Source organism: Homo sapiens, chromosome 2 (assembly GCF_000001405.40).
Source record: "Homo sapiens chromosome 2, GRCh38.p14 Primary Assembly".
Taxonomy (NCBI): Eukaryota; Metazoa; Chordata; class Mammalia; order Primates; family Hominidae; genus Homo; species Homo sapiens.
The window spans coordinates 147,734,396-147,758,191 of NC_000002.12; the positions used below are offsets into that span (position 1 = coordinate 147,734,396).

A 23,796-nucleotide genomic window follows, 5' to 3' on the forward strand; every position below is an offset into this window, starting at 1 on the left:
GATATTTACTCTCACCACCGTTATTCAGCACAGTTCTGGAATTCCTAGACAGAGCAATTAGGCAAGAGAAAGAAATAAAGGGCATTCAAATTGGAAAAGGGCAAGTCAGTTGTCCCTGTTTACAGATGACATGATCTTATATATAAAAAACCCTAAAAGGTTCACCAAAAAACTCTTAGAATAAGCGGATTCAGTAAACTTGCAGAATATGAAATCAACATACAAAAATCTGTCATGTTTTTATGTACCAACAGTGAACTAACAGAAAAAGAAATCCAGAAAGCAATCCCATTTATAATAGTTACAAAAAATAATAAAATACCTAGGAATAAAGTTAACCAAGAAGATGAATGATCTCTACAAAGGAAACTATAAAATACGGATAACAGAAATTAGAGAGGTCACTGAAAAATGGAAAAACATCTATATTCATAAATTGGAAGAATTAATATTGAGAAAATGATCATACTACCAAAAGCAATCAACAGAGGCAATGCAATGCCTATCAAAATACCAATGACATCCTTGAAGAAATAGAAAAAACAATGTTAAAATTCACAGGGAGCCACAGACGACCCCAAATAGCCAAGGTAATACAGAGCAAAAATAACAAAACTGGAGGCATCACACTACTGAACTTTCAAATATACTACAAAGCTATAGTAACCAAAGCAGCATTGTGCTGGCATAAAAACAAACACATAGACCAATGAAACAGAATAGAGAACGCAGAGATAAATCCATGTAGTTAAGACCAACTGATTTTTGACTGGGCACGGTGGCTCACGCCTGTAATCTCAGCACTTTGGAAGGCCTAGGCAGGCAGATCACTTGAGGTCAGGAGTTCAAGACCAGCCTGGCTAACATGGCAAAACTCTGTCTCTACTAAAAATACAAAAATTAGCCAAACATGGTGGTACACACCTGTAGTCCCACTAATTGGGAGGCTGAGGCAGGAGAATCACTTGAACCCAGGTGGCAGATGTTACAGTGAGCCGAGATCACACCACTGCACTCCAGCCTGGTGACAGAGTGAGACTCCATCTCAAAAAATGAAAAAATAAGTAAATAAATAAAACCAACTGATTTTCAACAAAGGTGTCAAGAACATTCAGTGGGAAAAGGACTGTCTGTTCAACAAATGGTGCCGAGAAAACTGTATATCCATTGGCAGAAAAATGAAAATAGATCCCTATCTCTCACCATACACAAAAATTAAATCAAAATGGATTAAAGACTTAAATGCAAGACCTGAAACTATAAAATTGCCACAAGAAAATATTGGGGAAACACTTCAGGACATTGGTCTGGGAAACATTTGTTGGATAAGACCTCAAAAGCACAAGCAACAAAAGTAAAAATAGACAAATGGGTATTGACTGGGCGCAGTGGCTTAGGCCTGTAATCCCAGCACTTTGGGAAGCTGAGGCAGGGAGATCAATTGAGGTCAGGAGTTTGAGACCAGCCTGGTCAGCATGGTGAAACTTCATCTCTACTAAAAATAAAAATAAAAAAATTAGCGGGGCATAGTGGTACATGCCTGTAATCCCAGATACTTGGGAGGCTGAGGCAGGAGAATCACTTGAACCTGGGAGGCGGAGGTTGCAGTGAGCCGAGATCATGCCATTGCACTCCAGCCTGGGCAATGGAATTTTTTCTGTCTCAAAAAAAAAAAAAAGAAAGAAAGAAAAGAAAGAAAGAAAAAAATAGACAAATGGGATCACTCAAACTAAAATGCTTCTGCACAGCAAAGGAAACAATCTACAGAGTGAGTAAACAGAATGGGAGGAAATATTTGCAAACTACCCATCCAACATGGGATAAACAACCAGAAAGTGTAAGAAACTCAAACAACTCAACTGCAAAAAAAAAAAAAAAAAAAAAACAAGAGTCTGATTAAAAAGTGGGCAAATGATCTGAATAGACATTTCTCAAAGAAGACATATACATGGTCAACAGGCATATGAAAAAAGTGCTCAGTATCACTCATCATCAGGGAAACGCAAAAAAACCCACAGTGGGGTATCATCATCTCATCCCAGTTAAAATGGCTATCAAAAAGATAAAAAAAAAACAGATGCTAGCAAGGATGTGGAGAAAGAGGAATGCTAGTATACTACTGGTGGGAATGTAAATTAGTAAGAACACTGTCGAAAATAGTATGGAGATTCCTCAAAAAACTAAAATAATAAATCTACCACAATCTTCAGCTATCCCACTGCTGGATATACACTCAAAAGAAAAGAAATCAGAATATTGAGGAGGTATCTTCAGGCTTATGTTTATTGTAGCACTATTCACAATAGCCAAGATATGGAATCAACCTATGTGTCCATCAACAGATAAATGGATAAAGAAAATGTGGTACATATGATGGAATACTATTCAGCTGTAAATAAGAATGAAATTGTGTCATTAGCAGCAACATGGAAGGAACTGGAAATCATATGTTAAGGAAAATTAGCCAGACAGAAGAAGACAAATCTCATATGTTCTCACTCATATGTGGGAGCTAAAAACATTGATATCATGGAGGTAAAAAGTAAAATGATGGGTACCAGAGACTGGGAAGGGTAAAGAGGCAACGAGGAGAGGTTAGTTAATGGGTACAAAAATACAGTTAGCTACTCGGGAGGCTGAGGCAGGAGAATGGCGTGAACCCGGGAGGCGGAGCTTGCAGTGAGCCGAAATAGCGCCACTGCAGTCCGGCCTGGGAGCCTGGGCGAAAGAGCGAGACTCTGTCTCAAAAAAAAAAAAAAAAAAAAAAAATACAGTTAGGTGGAGTAAGTCCTACCATTCAATAGCTCAGTAGGGTGATGGTAGTTAGTTAATGATAAATGATTATGTATTTCCAAATAGCAGAAGAGAAAATTTAAACTGTTACCAACACAAAGAAATGATAAATGTTTGAGGTGATGGATATCTTAATTACCCTGTTTTGATTATTACACATTGTGTGTGTACCAAAATATCACATGTACCCCATAAAAATATGCAAGTTATTATGTATTAATAAAAAAGCTGAGTAGCCCGTCTGATCGATTAAAATGGAAGTTTTTTACCTGCAAATATGAAGAAGGATTTTTTTAAAACATTGTATAGTATCTGAATAGTTCTCTTTGATGGTACCTTATCTGGAATTTAATCACAGTGTTTATTGATGTTTCCATAAATATATCTGTATTGAAGCACAGTTTATTTTCTGAACCACAGAGCTCTAATTTCACCCACCCCAGAGAATACTCATCATTTTCATCCAATTCCTTGACTTCATAGGAGGTCTTCCTTCCTCTTCAATGTGAGAAATGAACCATTTTCCATCACTTAAGCTCACAGTGGCTGCTATAGTAGAAGTCCTTTGCACAAGAGAGAACGATTCATTAGGCACTCAGCAATACCACACTAAGTACCATGAGGAGAAATTAAGGACCTAGATAAAGACCCTGCCATTGAGGGATATCCATTTTTAGATGCGAATAGTCAGCAACTTTGAAGAAACTGCTGTTAGTGCTCCCTAATCTTCCCAGTCTATAAACGTCTTTTCTCTGTTTGCTTTTTCTTTCCCTTTCCTGCTTTACTGGCCTTAGGCCTGACATTAACACTCCCAGGTACTCAAATTCCCAGAGTGATACCAAACTTTTCTCTTGCTTCTTCCTTCAACTTCTACGGCTACCAGCTCCAAGGTCAGAGTCCCAGCACCCCCACCCTGCTAGTGAGAAATTCTTCTGTAAAGTACTTAACTTCTCTGCACTACAACTTCTATTAATGGAAGTCACATCTGCCTGTTACAGAAAATCAGATCTGGAAAAATCTGGAACAATCTTACAAAAGTTCACTATATCAGATAATGAATATAAAAATATGCTACCACCATAAAGTGCTACACAAATCTTATCATGATGACATTTATAATTTTTTCAGTGAAAAGATAAGAAGTAAGCCTATGATGCCACCTGGACCAAAATAGCTCATTTGACCTTCATTTATAACTCTGCCCAAATTTTAAGAATATATATGATGGATAGGTGAGAGTGGATAAGGTGAGTGGGTGGGACTGGTGCAGAGGGGATTAAAGATGGGGGAAGGGTAAATTCAGTGACAAAAGACAGGGATTTCCACATAATCTCTTTGGGAAGCGCCGCTCCCATTGGCTCTAAGGACTATAGTAATAACAGTGTTGATACTATACAGGTAGTATTTATTAAGCGATTTGCTGTGTACCAGGCACTCTTTTAAGAGTTTTATATGTATTCACTTTCTATCCTCCCAACAAAACTATGAGAAAGGAACTGTTATTACTCTCATTTTACAGAGAGGGAGACTGAGGCACTTGAGGTTCCATAACTCAGCATCTGAGACTGGAGCCCATAATTTTGACCAGCATGCTCTATTGCCTTTCATTACAGTACTGTGCACTTAAGCACATGGACTTATAGCCCCAAACTGCTAGGGATGAAGTCTGTGCACCATTTACAATTGCCCTCAGATTAATGAGAGAGTAAGTATCAGGTGCATGGTAAGTACACAGTAGGTGTTAGCTAGCAACACATTGGCTCAATTTGTTTTTGTTTGCTCCTCAAACAATGAACTGGCTTTTTTGATTGTCTCAAAGCAAAGCCATTTTTGAAGGTAACATATTTAAAATAAAATGCCAAGTGGAAACTCACACAGATGCACAGTGAACCAGCTGAACTAAGATCATTAAATGTGTTAGACTCAGACCCTCCCAAGCTTTACAGTGGAATGGGGCAGCATTCACTTGCCATTTGTGCAATGCTAAGACGATCCAATGTGAATAGAATTAATTGAATTTTTTGTCCCCAAATCAATCCATACAGGGTAAAGCAGACACAGCCTAAGGTCTGCCTCTCTAAACAGATAAGGTGAATGAGGGAGCAAGGCAATTTGAGATAATTTTAATGTAACTAGTCCAGCTGAATAATTTAAGCTAAAGCTCCCTGTTTAGCCTTAATGAAGGTTTTTAAAAATGAAATAATTTGGATAATTGTCCCAGATTTCCATTTCACTTTGCGTCTATCGACAAAGCTTAAACTTGCAATTGAGAAACTTGTTTTTAAAAAGGACTGGAACTTAGCTATCTGTTTAGATAGAAGGGAAAATCTTCTGCAGCCTATACTTATCTGATCAGGACCATCCTTAGGTAGTCTTCTTTCACGAGTCCTCTGTCAGTACTTCCCCTCTAGTCTCTCTTCTGATAGAAAAGATACGATCAATTATTTCATAATAGGGTGTGAGTTACACAGTATGTTATACCTCCCTGGAGTATTTGCAATTCAGAAAAGAGCCACTATATGAGGAAAAAGCTCAACAGAAAGCAATGAATCATTATCAGTGGCATTTCAACTATCCACAGTAGGGCTATATCTTTGAGCAGGGAAACTTCCCAGCTTCCTGTCAAATCCACAGGCATCTATTTACACTCTATCCATCGGAAACACTTCACAATTACTGGCATTTTAAGAGTCTGAAATAGTCCATCATGATATTATAAAAAACAAAGCAATACAAACCTTCATTAATGGAAAATAACAGACAATATAATTATGTATTCAATATACCAAAAAGCTATGAAATAACAAAAAGCATTTTCCCACTAGAAATGTAGATGTCTCCTATGCCTTAATACAGTATGGAAGCTACAGGAGATATTATTTTCAAACATAATGACACATATGCATTTTAAAAGCCCTACAGGTAAGTCTGACCATGATATTTGGCACCAGACATATAATTTTTTTAGATATGAGACAGGGAAGTGTAGACAAGCACAATTGTCACACAGCAGAGGCACTGACTCATTAAATAATACATGTTTTCAGAGGAAGTTAAAGAGAGTATGTGTGAGGTAGCTGTGTCTCTGCATGAACATAACATGTATGCATTTGCACACACAAAAAAGAAAAACACTTTCAACTAAGCTGTAGAGACATGATGCAATGTTTTAAATTTTTACCAGTTTTTCTTAATCACTATTCAACACCATGATGATCTTTGCAAAAATTGTTTTAATGTGCCCAGACACGTCTTTGTATAGTCATATCTTAAATCCAGAATTCAGAACAATTGCATTATGTAAGGATTTTGACCACTCTCATCATTAGAACTACTGCCTTCAATAGCAAAATTACATTGTGTATGTATTATTGGACATAGTACAATACTATATAGTATTTCAGTTCATGAAATACTATGTGTAAGAATATTATTTTAATTGTGAAAAAATACACATGATGTAAAATTTACCATCTTAGCCCTTTTAAGTGTACTGGTCAGTATTAAGTATATTCCCATTGTTGTGCAATCAATCCTCAGAACTTTTCATCTTGCAAAACTGAAACTCTGTAGCCATTAAACAACAACCCCTGATTTTTCCCTCCCTACAATGCCTGAAAACAACCAATCGATTTTCTGTTTCCATGAATTTGATTACTCTGGATACTTCATACAAGTGGAATTATACAGTATTTTTCTGTTTGTGACAGGCTTATGTCACTTAGCCTAATGTCCTCAAGGTTCATCTATGCTATAGTATGTGTCAGAATTCCTTCCATTTTCAGGCTGAATAGTAGTCCATTGTATGCATATGCTACATTTTGTTTATCCTTTCATCCATCAGTGAATACTTGAGTTGCTTTCACTTTTTGGCTATTGTGAATAATGCTGCTATGAATATGGTGTACAGATATCTCTTTGAGACCCTGCTCTTAATTCTTTTGGATATATACTCAGAGGTGAAATTGCTGGATCATATGGGGATTCTATTTTTCATATTTTGAGGAACTGCCATACTTTTTTCATACCAGCTGCATCATTTTACATTCCCACCAACAGTGCACCAGGCTTCCAATTTGTCCACACCCTCACCAAAACTTGTAATTTTCTATTAACAAGTGTTGATAGTAGCCATCTTGATGGGTATGAGGAAGAATAATTTTTAAAACACTTTTTTCTAAAGTCAAAGTCAAAGATTATTCTCTGATTGCACTCAGTGCTGTGTTTTGTTGTTTAAGAAAGTATTTGGGTTGGGTGCAATGGCTCACGCCTGTAATGCCAGCACTTTGGGAGGCTGAGGCAGGTGGATGACCTGAGGTCAGGAGTTCGAGACTAGCCTGGCCAACATGGTGAAACCCTGTCTCTATTAAAAATAAAAAAATTAGATAGGCATGGTGGTGTACACCTGTAATCCCAGCTACTCAAGAGGCTGAGGCAGGAGAATCACTTTAACCAGGGAGGCAGAAGTTGCAGTGACCCGAGATTGCACCACTGCACTCCAGCCTGGGCAACAAGAGCGAAACTCCATCTCAAAAAACAAAAAAAGTATTTGGAAGCAGACATACACGGATTTAAATTACAACTCCACTATGTTCTAGTTTTTTCTCCAGTGACATAGGAATATTTATGCTTTCCTTAAAAATTATTCTAAATACTAAGATAATGTAAATAAAACACTTGGCACAGCAGCTAGCATATTGTAAGTGCTCAAAAAATGGTAGTTGCACTGATATTGAAATAAGAAGACTTATGATACCTACTCATAAGAAACTTATCATCTTGTTGAGAAGAGACAACTAACTTACATGAAACATCTAAATAATGAAAGTGAACTCTGGGCCATTCAGAATGTGTTGGCGACATTCCATAAGACAGAAATCAACCTATAGAGTTCAAAGCACTTAATGTTCATGAAACTCTTGGAGAGGATGAAGGAAAAAAAGCTTCTTCCATCCGCTCCTCCTTCATCTCCATGATTTTTTTACCTCTAGGTTCACTCCCCCATCAAGAGAGATCCAAGGTGACTTTGTCATTCACTCATTGTACCTCCATATAAAGAGTCAAACAGGGAGTGAGTGGGTGGCAACTCCAGTTGGCAGGACCTGGAGACACAGATATGGCATTAAGGAAGGAAACCTGAGATGACAGAGAAGTTTTAAGGAGTTAGGCAGAAGGCAATAAGTAAAGGTCTAGGAGAAGAGGTGCTTAGGTCTGCTATCAAGTATCAAGTTTTCAGCCACAAGAGTTAGGAGACCAGGGATAAGACTCTAGAAATTATATGTATTCTACAGCAACTGCTATATCAGGCAAATTATCAAGGTAGGCCCAGAACTATGTTTTGAATACTTTCTCCAAAACTCATATTGACATTTAATTGCCATTGTAACAGTATTAAAAAGTGAGATATTTAAGTAGGTCATGAGGGCTCTGCCTTCATGAATAGACCAATGCCATTATCTCTGGAGTAGTTACTGAGATCATGCATTCTTGAGCAAAAGGATGAGTTCAGTCCTATTTTTTCTGTCTGTCCTTCATGATCACTTGCCTTTCCACCATATTATGGTACAACACAGAATCCCTCGCGAGATGCCAGCATCATGCTCTTAGGCTTCCCAGCCTCCAGAACTGTGAGCCAAATAAATTTCTATTCATTACAAAAACCACCCAGTCTGTGGAATTCTGTTATAGAAGCAGAAAACAGACTATGACAGAAAATTGGTACCAGAGAAGGGTTGTTGCTGTAACAAATATCAAAATTCTAGAAGAGGCTTTGGAACTGGTAGATGGCTGGAGAATGGAAGAATTTGGAGGCACAGGCTAGAAAAAGCTTTGACTGCTATGAGTGGAGCATTAAGGGCTTGGAAGAAGAGAAGCACTGTAGAGAAAGTCTGAAACTTCTTAGAGATTACTTTAGTGGTCATAATCAGAATGTTGATAGAAATATAGAAGGCAAAGTTCATTGGATCAAGTCTAAGATGGAAATAAAAAACACGGTACTGGAGTGAGGGCCATCCTTGTTATACAGTTGCAAAGAACTTGACAGAGCTGTATTTGTGTCCTAGGACTTTATGGATTGCAGAACTTAAGAGTGATAAACTAGGATATCTGATGGAAGAAATATCTAAGAAACAAAGCATTTAATCTGCAGCATAGTTACTTTTAACCACATACAATGAGATGTGAGGGCAAAGAGATGCCCTAAAGACAGAATTTACGATTAAAAGAGAAGCAGAACTGGCGTTTTAGACATGAAGTCCTTGCCCATGCCTATGTCCTGAATGGTAATGCCTAGGTTTTCTTCTAGGGTTTTTATGGTTTTAGGTCTAACGTTTAAGTCTTTAATCCATCTTGAATTGATTTTTGTATAAGGTGTAAAGAAGGGATCCAGTTTCAGCTTTCTACATATGGCTAGCCAGTTTTCCCAGCACCATTTATTAAATAGGGAATCCTTTCCCCATTGCTTGTTTTTCTCAGGTTTGTCAAAGATCAGATAGCTGTAGATATGCGGCATTATTTCTGAGGGCTCTGTTCTGTTCCATTGATCTATATCTCTGTTTTGGTACCAGTACCATGCTGTTTTGGTTACTGTAACCTTATAGTATAGTTTGAAATCAGGTAGTGTGATGCCTCCAGCTTTGTTCTTTCAGCTTAGGATTGACTTGGCGATGCAGGCTCTTTTTTGGTTCCATATGAACTTTAAAGTAGTTTTTTCCAATTCTGTGAAGAAAGGCTTTGGTAGCTTGATAGGGATGGCATTGAATCTATAAATTACCTTGGGCAGTATGGCCATTTTCACGATATTGATTCTTCCGACCCATGAGCATGGAATGTCCTTCCATTTGTCTGTATCCTCTTTTATTTCATTGAGCAGTGGTTTGTAGTTCTCCTTGAAGAGGTCCTTCACATCCCTTGTAAGTTGGATTCCTAGGTATTTTATTCTCTTTGAAGCAATTGTGAATGGGAGTTCACTCATGATTTGGCTCTCTGTTTGTCTGTTATTGGTGTATAAGAATGCTTGTGATTTTTGTACATTGATTTTGTATCCTGAGACTTTGCTGAAGTTGCTTATCAGCTTAAGGAGATTTTGGGCTGAGACGATGGGGTTTTCTAGATATACAATCATGTCGTCTGCAAACAGGGACAATTTGACTTCCTCTTTTCCTAACTGACTACCTTTTATTTCCTTCTCCTGCCTAATTGCCCTGGCCAGAACTTCCAACACTATGTTGAATAGGAGTGGTGAGAGAGGGCATCCCTGTCTTGTGCCAGTTTTCAAAGGGAATGCTTCCAGTTTTTGTCCATTCAGTATGATATTGACTGTGGGTTTGTCATAGATAGCTCTTATTATTTTGAGATACGTCCCATCAATACCTAATTTATTGAGAGTTTTTAGCATGAAGGGTTGTTGAATTTTGTCAAAGGCCTTTTCTGCATCTATTGAAATAATCATGTGGTTTTTGTCTTTGGCTCTGTTTATATGCTGGATTACATTTATTGATTTGTGTATATTGAACCAGCCTTGCATCCCAGGGATGAAGCCCACTTGATCATGGTGGATAAGTGGATAAGCTTTTTGATGTGCTGCTGGATTCGGTTTGCCAGTATTTTATTGAGGATTTTTGCATCAATGTTCATCAAGGATATTGGTCTAAAATTCTCTTTTTTGGTTGTGTCTCTGCCTGGCTTTGGTATCAGAATGATGCTGGCCTCATAAAATGAGTTAGGGAGGATTCCTTCTTTTTCTATTGATTGGAATAGTTTCAGAAGGAATGGTACCAGTTCCTCCTTGTACCTCTGGTAGACTTTGGCTGTGAATCCAAAAGCAATGGCAACAAAAGCCAAAATTGACAAATGGGATCTAATTAAACTAAGGAGCTTCTGCACAGCAAAAGAAATCACCATCAGAGTGAACAGGCAACCTACAAAATGGGAGAAAATTTTCGCAACCTACTCATCTGACAAAGGGCTAATATCCAGAATCTACAATGAACTCAAACAAATTTACAAGAAAAAAACAAACAACCCCATCAAAAAGTGGGCGAAGGACATGAACAGACACTTCTCAGAAGACATTTATGCAGCCAAAAGACACATGAAAAAATGCTCATCATCACTGGCCATCAGAGAAATGCAAATCAAAACCACAATGAGATACCATCTCACACCAGTTAGAATGGCGATCATTAAAAAGTCAGGAAACAACAGGTGCTGGAGAGGATGTGGAGAAATAGGAACACTTTTACACTGTTGGTGGGACTGTAAACTAGTTCAACCATTGTGGAAGTCAGTGTGGCGATTCCTCAGGGATCTAGAACTAGAAATACCATTTGACCCAGCCATCCCATTACTGGGTATATACCCAAAGGACTATAAATCATGCAGCTATAAAGACACATGCACATGTATGTTTATTGTGGCACTATTCACAATAGCAAAGACTTGGAACCAACCCAAATGTCCAACAATGATAGACTGGATTAAGAAAATGTGGCACATATACACCATGGAATACTATGCAGCCATAAAAAATGATGAGTTCATGTCCTTTGTAGGGACATGGATGAAATTGGAAATCATCATTCTCAGTAAACTACAGCAAGGACAAAAAACCAAACACCGCATGTTCTCACTCTTAGATGGGAATTGAACAATGAGAACACATGGACACAGGAAGGGGAACATCACACTCTGGGGACTGTTGTGGGGTGGGGGGAGGGGGGAGGGATAGCATTAGGAGATATACCTAATGCTAAATGACGAGTTAATGGGTGCAGCACACCAGCATGGCACATGTATACATATGTAACTAACCTGCACATTGTGCACATGTACCCTAAAACTTAAAGTATAATAATAAAAAAAAGAAAAAAAAGAAAGACAAAAAATAAATAAATAAATAAATAAATAAAAGAGAAGCATAATTGAAAGATTTGGAAAATTTCATCCTGGCCATGTAAAGAATGAAAGAGTATGTTCAGGAGAGAATACCAAGGACTCAGCCAAATGACAGTTTGCTAAAGGGATTCACATGAATAGAAGGGATTCAGGTGCTGTTCATTAAAACAATGGGAGAGAGATTCTGAAAGCATTTTAGAGATCTTCAAGGCTGCCCAGGGCTGCCTCAGGTCTCTGCTCCCTGTATTCTGGTGTAGTGCCCCTCAACTACCTCAGCCATGGCTTAAACAGACTCAGGTGAAGCTCAGCCCACTGCTCCAGAAGGTGCAAGCAGCAAGCCTTGGCAGCATCTGCATGGTATGAAGTCTGTAGGCTCACAGAATATGAAAGCTGTGGGGGCCATACCTACCTTTACCTAGATTTCAAAGGATGCCATGTACCATCAGGGAACCCAGGCAGAGGCTTGTCACAGGAGCGGAGCCACCTCATAGAGTCCCCACTAGGGCAATGATTAATGGAGCTGTGGGAGAAAGGTCACCTCAGAGACCCCAGAACTCTAGGGCCAGCAGCATGCAACATTAGCGTAGAAAAGCTACAGACACAAGATTCCAACCCATGACAGCTACTGGGTGGACTAAGCCCAACAAGGCATAAGGGGCAGTGCTGCCTGAGGCCTTGGAAGCCCAGCCCCTACACTAATGTGTCCAAGATGTGAAACAGCCAACCAAGAATATCATCCAGCTTTAAGAGTTAATGTTGTTCATGCTGTCGGGTTTTGGACTTACTTGGGACCAGTTACCCCTTTTTGCATTCCTATTTCTCCCTTTTGGCATGGGAATGTCTATCCTATTCCAGTCCTATCATTGTATTTTCGAAGTAGATAATCTTATTGATTTCACAGGCTTACAGCTGGATGTATTTGCTTCAGGAAAATCATGCCTTCATTCGCACTCATATCTGATCTAGATAACTCTGGAATTTGGACTTCTGAGTTGATGTAGAACAAATTAAGACTTTGGGAGCTACTAGGATGAAATGAATGTACTTTGTATGTGAGAAGGACATGAATATTGGGAGGACTAGAGATGGAATACTATGGTTCGAATGTCCCCTCCAAAACTGATGTTGAATTTTAATTGCCATTGTAATAGTATTAAGAGATGAGACCTTTAAGAGGTGATTATGTCGTGATTGCTCTGCCCTCATGAATGGATAATGCTGTTATCATGTAAGTGGTTAGTTATTGTGGGAGCAGTATCCTGATGTAAAGGTTGAGCTTGGCCTGATTTCCTCTCCCTGTCTTATATGTTCACTTGCCCTTCCACCATGTTATGATGCAGCACAAAGGCTCATAAAGATGCCAGTGCCATGCCTTTGGACTTCCCAGGCTTCAGAATCATAAGTCAAAATATTTCTGTTCATTATAAATTACCCAGTCTGTGATATTCTGTTATAGCGCAGAAAATGAACTAAGACACCCAGAAAAACAACAATATCATTACTGGCATTGAGTACTGAAGCAAAACAATAGCCTATTAGTCCTCCACAAGTATAAGAGGTGAACTAGCAAGCAGAGCCTTTGGCTCTCTGGATTGTTCCTCTAAAAAACAAAAATAACCCTAACAAAAAAACAGCCTCAAAACAGCAGACAATGCAGTGGCTCCATCCAAAAGAATGGACTCCATAGCAACAGTGCTGTGGAGTCAAGGAATCAGAGTGCCTCAAGAACCCTGCCCTCTGCTAAAAATTGGAAATGACCTGGAACATAGACTGTAGGGTGAGCTTACACTCTAAACAATAACTATTTGTTGAATCAATAATTTGTGGCTATGAATCCTCTCTGGCATGATGTCTATCACCTCCCACCACAATCAGATTATTCATTCATTTCTTCCACCAACATTCACTGAACACATTCTACATACTAGTCCCTGTATGTGCTGTAAGTGCTACGAGTAAAGAAATGAATAAGCCACAGTCCTGAATGGCTCTCAAAATGCTCCTGATCTAATGGGCCATGAAAATCTCTTGACAACCACGATTCTTTATATCAGACACTGTTCTCCATGGATTATTTCAGCTTTCTACCAATGTTACACCATGAAACTAGAAAACAAGGGGAACATAATTCATATCCATATGATTTCATATCCATGATTTCATATCCATATGAATTCACACATTGTACCCATACACAGGGTAGAAAGGAAAAATGGGAATTGCTTCATTAGTTTTCAGAACATTCTCCAACCACTTAGGTTTTGGTCAAATAGATAGACCGGCTCCTTTACTTACTAGCCATGAAACACTGGACAAGAATTATAAATCTCTGTGCTTCACTTCTCTCATCTTTAAAACAGGAATGATAATGGTATCTACCTCAATGGTAATATTATACATGGAACAAAATAGCCACTCCATAAAAGCTGATATTTTATAAACTTACATTGCTTTTAGCTTCATACTACAGTTATTAAAATTCTGAGCAGCGAAATTAACTTGGCCACAGTGGTTACTTTAACCAGTGGTGAAGATGAAAATAATACTCAAACCTTCTCCCTCTAAAATTCCTTCTAACATATGTTGCTGCTTCTCCTCACCACAAATCTGAAATATCAGAAATCTTTCTTCAGTATTACAAAGAAAAAAAAAAACTTTATATCTCAGTAATACACCACAGCTTAAAAATACATATCTCAATAATGTACCATAACATTAAATAAAATAATTATGCAGTATATTTTTAAAATAAAAGATGAAGGAAGGGATGAAGGGAGGAAAAGAAGAGATTGCAGTTATATTTGAGGTTAAAATACATTGTGTTTGGTACTTGGAAACTGGTCCAAGATCTTTGAAATGTGTAATTATCTATTATTCAGTAAATATTTATTGAGTACTTACTATGTCCCAGGCACTATTCTAGGTGCTGGAGATTCTACCATGAGCAAAGATAAAATCCTGACCTCATGCAACGTACAATAAATTAAGAGAAATTGGCAATAATCATATGATCGTGTAATATAATTTAGTAAATGGCAGGTAAAAGGAAAATAAAACAAGTTAAAGTGGCATATGAGGGGGATACTTCAGAGAGGGTGACCCCTCTAAGAAGGTAGTGTTTGAGACCAAAATGGAAGAGGAAGCAAGGTATGCAATTATCTGGGGAACTCCAACGGAAGAAACAGAGAATGTAGAGGTTCTAAGGGAAGAATGAGCTTAGAGTATTCAAAAATAACAAGAACACCAGTTTGGAAACTACAGAAAGAAATGACGAGAGATAAAAATCACAAAGGTAGGTAGACGCTAGATCACCTAGACCATAAAAGGAGGCTGGAATTTGTTATAAGTATGATAGACAGTCACTGGCTACTTCTTAACAGTCATGTGACATGATGTGACTTGTTAAAAGCTCGTCTTGAATGCTGTGTGGAAAATAAACTAGAAAGAGACAAGATTGGGAACTGAAGGTTATCTAATTCATCTAGATAAGTAATGATGTTAGGAGGACTGGGTTGGCATAGTGGAAGCAGCAGTAGCAAGAGAAAGGATAATAGCAGAGGTAGTAATTAGAATTGGTAGGTTTCAGGATATATTCTAAAGGTGGAGCTGGGTAGGCTTACTGGTGGAGCTGGGTAGGCTTACCGATGAATTGGCTATTGAGAGTGAGAAAAAGAGAAATTAAAGATGACTTCTATGTTTTATCTTGATCAGCTGCTGGAATGGCAGATCTCCTTAGTGAAATGGAAAGTACTTGGAGTGGAAGGGGGTTAATCAAGAGTTATACTTGAGACATATTAAATTTGAGATGCCTATTAGAAAACTAGGCGATGTTGAGCAGGCAGTTGACAAAAGTCTGGGCAAGAGGCCAGAATTGGAGTTGTAAGTTTGGAAAGCATCACCTCTTATATAGAAGAGGAGAAACTTATATAGAATAGGAGAAACTCATTTGATAATTAGGAGAAAAATAAAGAAAAAAAAAAGCTGGAGACAGAGCACTGGGACATTCCAGCATTTAGAGATCTATAAAAGAGGAAGACCCAGCCAAGAGACTGAGATCAACCAGTGTGGTAGCAACATCCAGAAGAAAACAAATGAGTAAAGGATTGTTCATAAAAAATAAAATACAAATGGCTCTTGGAAACGAAAAGATATTCAGCCTCCCTCAAATAAGAGAAAACAAAATTTAAACTTCATTGCGATACTATTGTTTACCCATCAGATTAACAAAATCACAAGTTTAATAACGCACTATATTGGTGAGGCTATAGGGAAACAGTCTCAGATATTGTGGTGGGAGGTGGTGTATAAATTGGCACATTCTCTTTCAAGAACAACTTGGCAATAGCAAAATTTCTGGTGTAAATATACTCTTTGACTAGGCAATTCTATTTCTCAAAATTCATCCTATAGTATATTTAGAGATATGCAAAATGACAAACAAGCTAGGACATAGATTCCCAAATTAAATTCAATAGCAAAAGATTAAACCAATTTGAATATATATCATCATAGAACTATTTAAATAAATTACACTTCATCTTGAAAATGAAATACTATTCAGTTATTAAAAAGAATGAGGTAGTTCTATAGGTACAATATGGAAGGCTCCTGAAGATATATGACTGAATTAAACAAGTCAAAGTTTATATCTTTAGTATGTTAATATCTTTAGTATGTTACCTATCTTTTATATAAGAAAACAAAGGAATAAAAAATATATCATTGTATATGCCTAGAATATCTCAAAGGATACACAATAATCTAGTTACAAGGTCACTTCTGGGCATGAGAACTGTGTGGGATAGAAGAGAAACTTATTCTCAGTTCATACCCTTTTGTATCTTTTGAATGTTATAGCATATACATGTACTACCTATTCAAAAAGTATTTTTGAAAATTTAAAGAAGGAGAGCTCCAAGAGGTCAAGTGAAATAAGGACTGAAAATTGACCATCGTTAAGGCAAGATGGAGGTTCTTGGTGGCCTTGGTAAGAGTGAGTTCACTGGAGTGGTAAGCATGAAAACGTGATTGGATTTTCAGGAGAGAATGGGAGGTAAGTGGCAATAGTGAATGTAGAGTTCTATACAGGAAAGAATACTGCACTTTATTTTAACTTCTGATTCAACCATTTCTTACCCTTTCAACCTGGACAATTCACTTAATTTCTGTGAGCCCCAGTTACATCACAAGTAAGATGAAGAAAGCCATGTTTGCCCTCCCTACTGTAGAGCATCCTTGTTGAGCTCAAATGAGAGAGTGTCTTTTAATTGGTAAGCTGCAAAACTCTGATAGGACATGTCATTATTGTTATTAATATACAAGCACTCTTGCGATACAGGAAAAAAACTCTCAAAATAAGTATTTTGGAGAGTTTGAGATTTTGTTTTTGCTGTACTGGTCCATTTTTCTAACATAACCTATATTATATTATAGGTGTCTCTATACTGTTGCTTTCTTAAATGCCTCTTTTTTCCCAAAGGGAAATATATTTTATTTCTGATTTTAAACTCACTGGTTTTAAAACCATAGCTTTAGCAAAAAGCTTTAAAAAACCTACTGGTTATCTTTTCCTTAACATTATTGTGATGATAAAGAAATACATAAAGTCAAAAATACAATATCACAACAGTCTCATTTCTCAGAGATAACCACTATTAACCAGTACATTTTAAAAATCTTTCCAGACATTTCTCTGTCACAGTCAGCAATGCAATCAATGTCCTTGTATGCATTTACTTTGGATTTAAACAAAAACAAGTTGACCTCTCCTGACAGTTCTTAATCCAAAACCGAAACTTAGTCACAGTGTCCCACCTCAAACATACATTACCCATCCAGATTTGACTTACAATAGGAAAAATCAAGAGCTTTTTTTTTTTCTGGCGTGAACAGAGTCCATGTAAAAGTGTGAATAGAAACAACCACTTTTGATATTAGTTCCTTCCTAAATGTTAAGTTTCTAGTTTGGGCAGAAGTTGTTGTAGCTAATTTTACCCTGCCAAATAATTCTTATCTTATTGGAAGCTGGGGTAATAATGTGGATGAATGCCTTGCAGAATAAAGAATGCAAAACTCACTCTGCTACTAACTTCTTTGACCAAGATAATTAGGAATCACCTAATTTAGCCCTGAACATTCAATAGTGAATAACATATTCTCATTTGAAATAATGATTTTAAGACATAATAAATATTCTTTTTAATCAAATTAATCTTTGTTTGCTTAAGCAGACCCATCTCAAGGGCAGGCACAAGAACAGAATTTGCTCATACATTATACAATCCACCTCTGTCTACAACTGTGAATTTGCAAGTTGCAGAAACTTAGCATGCACTGCAGGGATAAGTATACTTCTTACTTTCTAACTGTAATGTCAGTACTTGCAACATCACCAAATCAATGGGAAAATAGCGGAATTTGGCCATATGAAAAAAGTATTTTTTAATTGGTTGTTGGCTGCTCATCTCTCATAACAAAATCCCACCTACTATGTGACTTAAACAACAGAAACATGTTCTCTCACAGCTATGGAGGCTAGAAGTCCAAGATCAGGGTGGCAGCATGGTCAGTTTTTGGCAAGGGGTCTCTTCCCAATTTACAGATCGCTGCCTTCTTGCTGTGTTCTCACATGATGGAGAGAGGACCAGCAAGTTTTCTGGTGTCTCTTCTTATAAGGAGCTGTAGTCCTATCATGAGGGCCCTATCCTCATGACCTCATATAACCCTAAATACTTTTGTAGGAGTCCTATCTGCAAATACCATCACACTGAGAATTTGGGGCTTTGACATCTGAGTTTTGGGGAAACACAAACATTCAGTCCATACCATTAGTCCTTTCTATGGTGATTTTATAATTAAAAGAACTATAAAAAGAATGAAAAGTAGTGAAAAATGTCCTGGATTAGAAGTCAACAGATTTGAGTTGTATCACAACTCCTTGTGTCCTTGAGCTAGACATTAAATATCTCTCAGTTTCTCTCATTTGTTAAAATGAAACAGGTACACAAGAGACTCACCACCAAAGCTAATACTGCATTTATTCAAAGCAAAAGAAATGTTATAGAACTTAATTTTTCTAACACTGGCTAAAATTAATTTCTCTCCAGCTGTGAAAAGGCAATTGAATTATAACCTCCTTTTCTCTTTCAACAATTATCTTTTCCAAACAAAAATCTAGTTTTGTTGCTAGAAATAAATCCCAATATCTATAGGAGAGACAGTTTAACATTGCAAAACCATGTATAATGTATACCACATGACTGATGAAGAATTAACAAAGAGACATTGGGAACAATCCACTGGAGAAAAAGTTTAAATTATTTCAAATTTCTTATTAATTTTCTTTCATCATCTCACCTTCATCTCTGAATTCATTCCTTCATACTATAATGTTATCAGGACCAGATTTAACAAAATTAGTTAATAATCTTTCCACTTTCATAGTGATACATAATTGCCTAAGCTTCATTTTATGAGGGTAATATGTAGGTTACATGACTGTCACAAAATACTTTTAGATACCATGAAATTTAGATAGCAAGTATTTGGGGATTTTGTTATTCACAGGATTCAGACACCTCACAAACTCTAAGAATAAAAACAAGAACTCAAAAGTTACTCAATAACTATTTATTGAGAGTTTAACAGTGGCATGTACTCAATCAATGCTTAAATTTTCTGAATTAGAAGTAGGCATAGAAAATATTCCACAGTGACACTAGGAAGCCATAAAAATGATTTCTACACAACACGGGATCATTCTAGGTGGAATCCAACCAGTGGCTGTTTCCTCATATCAAAAAGCCACAGAAATACTTCTAATGACTTTCAACCCCTCAATATAGAACAGATCAAAACCTCTCAGAGATTCTAAGCTGCAGCAATGCTTGCAAAGCACAATCCCACTCCAGGAACCAAAATGGGGAAAAGGATTTTACAGAGTATAGGGGAAGCACAAGAATCCTTATATTTGATGAAATTATAGAGTTGAAACAAATTACATTTGATGCAATTAGCTAAAAAATGGTTTATAAAGTGCTACTTAGAGATTGTCTTGTGTGATTGTAAATGTAGCAACCAAATATCCTCTTCTAGTCATAACCCAGACTCTGAGGCAATGCATGTTCATTCTGAGACGGGTAGAAGTAGGACATGCAGACTGTAGGACCCGGGAAAGGAGCCACGCAAAGGGACCAACACTAGGTCGGAGGCATTTCTCTGATTCACACTCACCTAAGGTTTCATCAATTTCCTCATGTGAAGGGAATGAATGTTGCTGTCAGAATCATGTTCAATATCCATTGTAGTTTGTTGGATATATGTTCATGTTCAACTTAATTTGAATTATAATAGTACTAATTTTATAGCATGGTTTCAGTGATTAATTACACACATTTCCTTCATACCTTCTTAAAGAATGTTAACTGGGCTAAGTGGTTCCCAAGTCCCCAGCTAACTGCAGTCAAGATTCAGTTGCCCAAAGTGAATGAGCTAAGTGAGCATTACTCCTAGCAGAGGGCGTCTGAACAAGTCTTATTCCTACCTGGCTGTATATAGAGTACACCAGCCTTTAACTAGGTAATAAATGGACGACTACTCTAGAAACTTATTACATAGTTGAGAAGGCAAAAACTAATATACATACACGCACAAATGTAGCAAACGAGGGTCTAAGTGTAAGACACTATGCTACGCATAATATAAAGATGAACGAGACAGGCATGGTCTTGAATTCAAAATGATCATAATCTTGTAAGTAGTAGAGGACATAATAATAACAATGAAATAATAATTTAAAATATATAGGGCTCACATAATGTGGCAAGGACTACACCAAGAGACCCATAGCACATTCTGTTTTATCCTTTTATTAATACTTACGGGGTAGGTATAATTATTCTCAACTTACAGGAGAACAAACTAAGTTCACAGAGTTTAAGTAAGCAGTTCAAGTTTATAAAGCTACTTAGTAGGACTTGTCTGTTTGACTCCAAAGAGCATTAGCTCCTTTCTGTGACATCATATTTCCACATATAGGCAGATCACTGTGATATGGCAAACACTACAAAAACAGACCAAAAAACTGAAGGACTTTTACAGCACTCATTTCCAGCCAGAGGAAACTAGAAACGTTTGGTGGAAGAGGTGTCCTTTGAGCTGGCCCTTGAGGACTCTAATAGGGGATGAATAACTGTAGAAAGCTGGATTATTCCAGGAGGCAGAAGGCACGGGGGCAAAAACATAGAGGTAGGAGAGCCTACGTTTTGCAAAGGAAGAATGATCAGTAATCTATTTTGGTGACAGCCTAGAAAAAATATGGTGGAGTGGTGGGAAAAATGGGTTGGAATTAGGTTGGAACCAAATGGTAACACACAGGTCTGGAATGTGACTTTAAGAAGTTTAGAATATTTGATAGGTACCATTGACCTACTGAAAAGCGTTTGAGGAAGAAGGGCTTAATCAAAACCATGCTTTAGTGTGAACAAACAAACAATAATCAGGGATATGTGACAACAAATATTTGATAAAATCTAATGTCAGGAAATATTCTTGTTGTAACATAAGGAGAAAACTAGTAGGCTGTTGAAGTTTGATCCCCTGGAAGAAATAATAAGAAAAATAAAATAATAAATTATAATAATAGCCAACCTTTGTTAAACTCATATTATGCACCAGGCTCTGTCTCCAAGTTCCTTATAATAACAATCGAGTATTCACTCTGTGAGTCCAGGTTTGCTGCAAAGGAGGTTGTAAGTCAGCAGTCCCCAATTTTTTTGGCACCAGGGACTGGTTTCGTGAAAAACAGGTTTTCCACAGACCAAGGATTCAAGTGCATTACATTTATTGTGCATTTTATTTCTATTATAATTACATTGTAATATATAATGAAATAATTATACAACTCACATAATGTAAAGTCAGCGGGAGCCCTGAGCTTGTTTTCCTGCAACTAAATGGTCCCATCTGGGGGTGACAGGAGACAGTGACAGATCATCAGACATTAGATTCTCATGAGGAGTGCACAACCTAGATCCCCCACATGCTCAGTTCACAATAGGGTTCACGCTTCTAAGAGAATATAGTGCTGCTACTGCTGATCTGACAGGAGGTTGAGCTCAGGCAGTAATGCATGTGATGGGGAGCAGCTGTAAATACAGATGAAGCTTTGTTTGCTCACCCACCACTCACCTCCTCCTGTGCGGCATAGTTAGTTCCTAACTGTCCATGGCCCAGGGGTTGGGGACCCCTGCTGTAAACTATTTAAATCAAGCTGTTAGAGATCAGAGAATTCATCTCTTTTCAAGTGATCAGGTCACTAGTGACATCAAATATAGTCTCTTCCTCCTGTTGAGTGGGCATGAATAAACACTGAAAAATACTCTCACCAACTTTTTCTTTCCTAAACTCCATAAGGACCATTTGTCACTAACATGCCTCCATTTCCAAGATTACAGTTTCTTTTACATTACTTATATTTTGTGGTGCTTGTTTCCCAGCACTTCTGTCCCTTCAGTAAACTCTCTTCTCCAAATCAGACTGTAGGATGGGTTATTTCTAGGAAAAGCTCCTCCAAATAAACTGATTCCACCCACTATGTATTCATTCTGATGTCTTGTTCCTGCAATTTAAAGCACTTTTGGAACCTGAAGCTCACAATTTATAATTGCTTCAACTTTCTCAATGTAAGGAGGGGCAGGGATTGCAAAACAAAAAGCAAGAGAAAGATTTTGCGACCATTATCATTCTTAACTAGCAAAGGAGAATTAGTCACCCATGTTCTCATTCACAAAACACTATCTGTAAGTAAGCTGTGTGCTTACAAGCTACATGAGTACAGAGTATGGGGGAATAAGCACAAGTTTGAGCCAAATTATTACATATCAGTTCTTTAATGATAGAAATTACTTAATTATTTTTATATTTCTGAATTGCCTAGCACAGTGAACTGCACACTCTAGACACTGAATAAATATCTGGTGAATAAATGAATAAATAAATGCTTTCTTAGCAAACTATAGATTAGTAAAGGGAGAGAAAGTAAAATTCAAATGTGAATAATTCATATATTTTAACAGTTTGGATTAACGTATCTCATGAAGAATGAGGATAATGGCTAAATTTGAGCAGAATGTTGGATTTTTGTGGAGATTTAATTATCTATTATTTAACATGACCAATGCAATAAATACCTTTAATAATAATATTCAATTATTTAATCTGACAACTCAGGCAGGTGTAGCCTCCAAAAAGATATGTCCAAGCCCAAATCCCTGAGACCTGTGAATATTGCCTTATTTGGAAAAGGGGACTTTGCAAACGTAATTAAGTGGAAGTTCTTAACTAAAGATTATCCTAGACTGCCTGGGTGGGCCCTGAATTCAATGACAAGTACCCTAAGAGACAGAAAAGCAGGATGCAACATGACAAGGGAGGCAGTGATTGGAGAGATGCCACCGAGAAATGCCAATGAATGCTAACAGCCACCAGATGCTGAAGGAGACACAACATGGATTCTCCCATAGAACCTCCAGAGGACGTAGAGCCTTACAGACACGTTAATTTTGGACTTCTGCCATGCAGAACTGTGAGAGAATACATTTTTGTCATTTTAAGCCACCCAGTTTGTGGAAATTTGTTACAGCATGCCTAAAAATCTAAGATAAATAAAGACCCCTTCTTTCCCCTAAAATCAACCTTGACTTCCATCTTTTGTTCACCAACAATCCCTCCAACAGCACTGCTTTTAAAACATACCCAGTATCCAACCACTTCTCACCACTTCCACTGCTCCCACTGATCCTAGCCACCATCCTGCATTAGCCTCTTAAAGAATCTCCTTGATCCCGCCCATCCCCACTACAATCTATTCTCAGCACCCAGGCTGCAACATTTAAACTTAAGTCATATCATGTAAAAACACTGCAAGCCCCCACTCCCCCGCATTACCTCCAGAGTAAAAGCAAAAATCCCCACATTGGCCTACACAGCCCCCAGTCACCTACTGATCTCATTTCCTACTACTCTCCCCAGGCATCGCTCTGCCCCAGACTTGGCCTCTAGTCCTCTTTGCTCCCCTCCTGCACTCCAGGCATGGTCCCACCTCAAGGC

At 37.7% G+C, this 23,796-nt stretch overlaps 1 annotated feature.

Moving 5' to 3' along the window:
* Positions 21,567–22,221: an enhancer, noted in NCBI's record as "OCT4-NANOG hESC enhancer chr2:148513531-148514185 (GRCh37/hg19 assembly coordinates)". NCBI's record gives its function as "activates a minimal SCP1, AML or CMV promoter by ChIP-STARR-seq in naive H9 embryonic stem cells {active_cell/tissue: H9 hESC(naive)}" and the evidence as "EXISTENCE:reporter gene assay evidence [ECO:0000049][PMID:30033119]".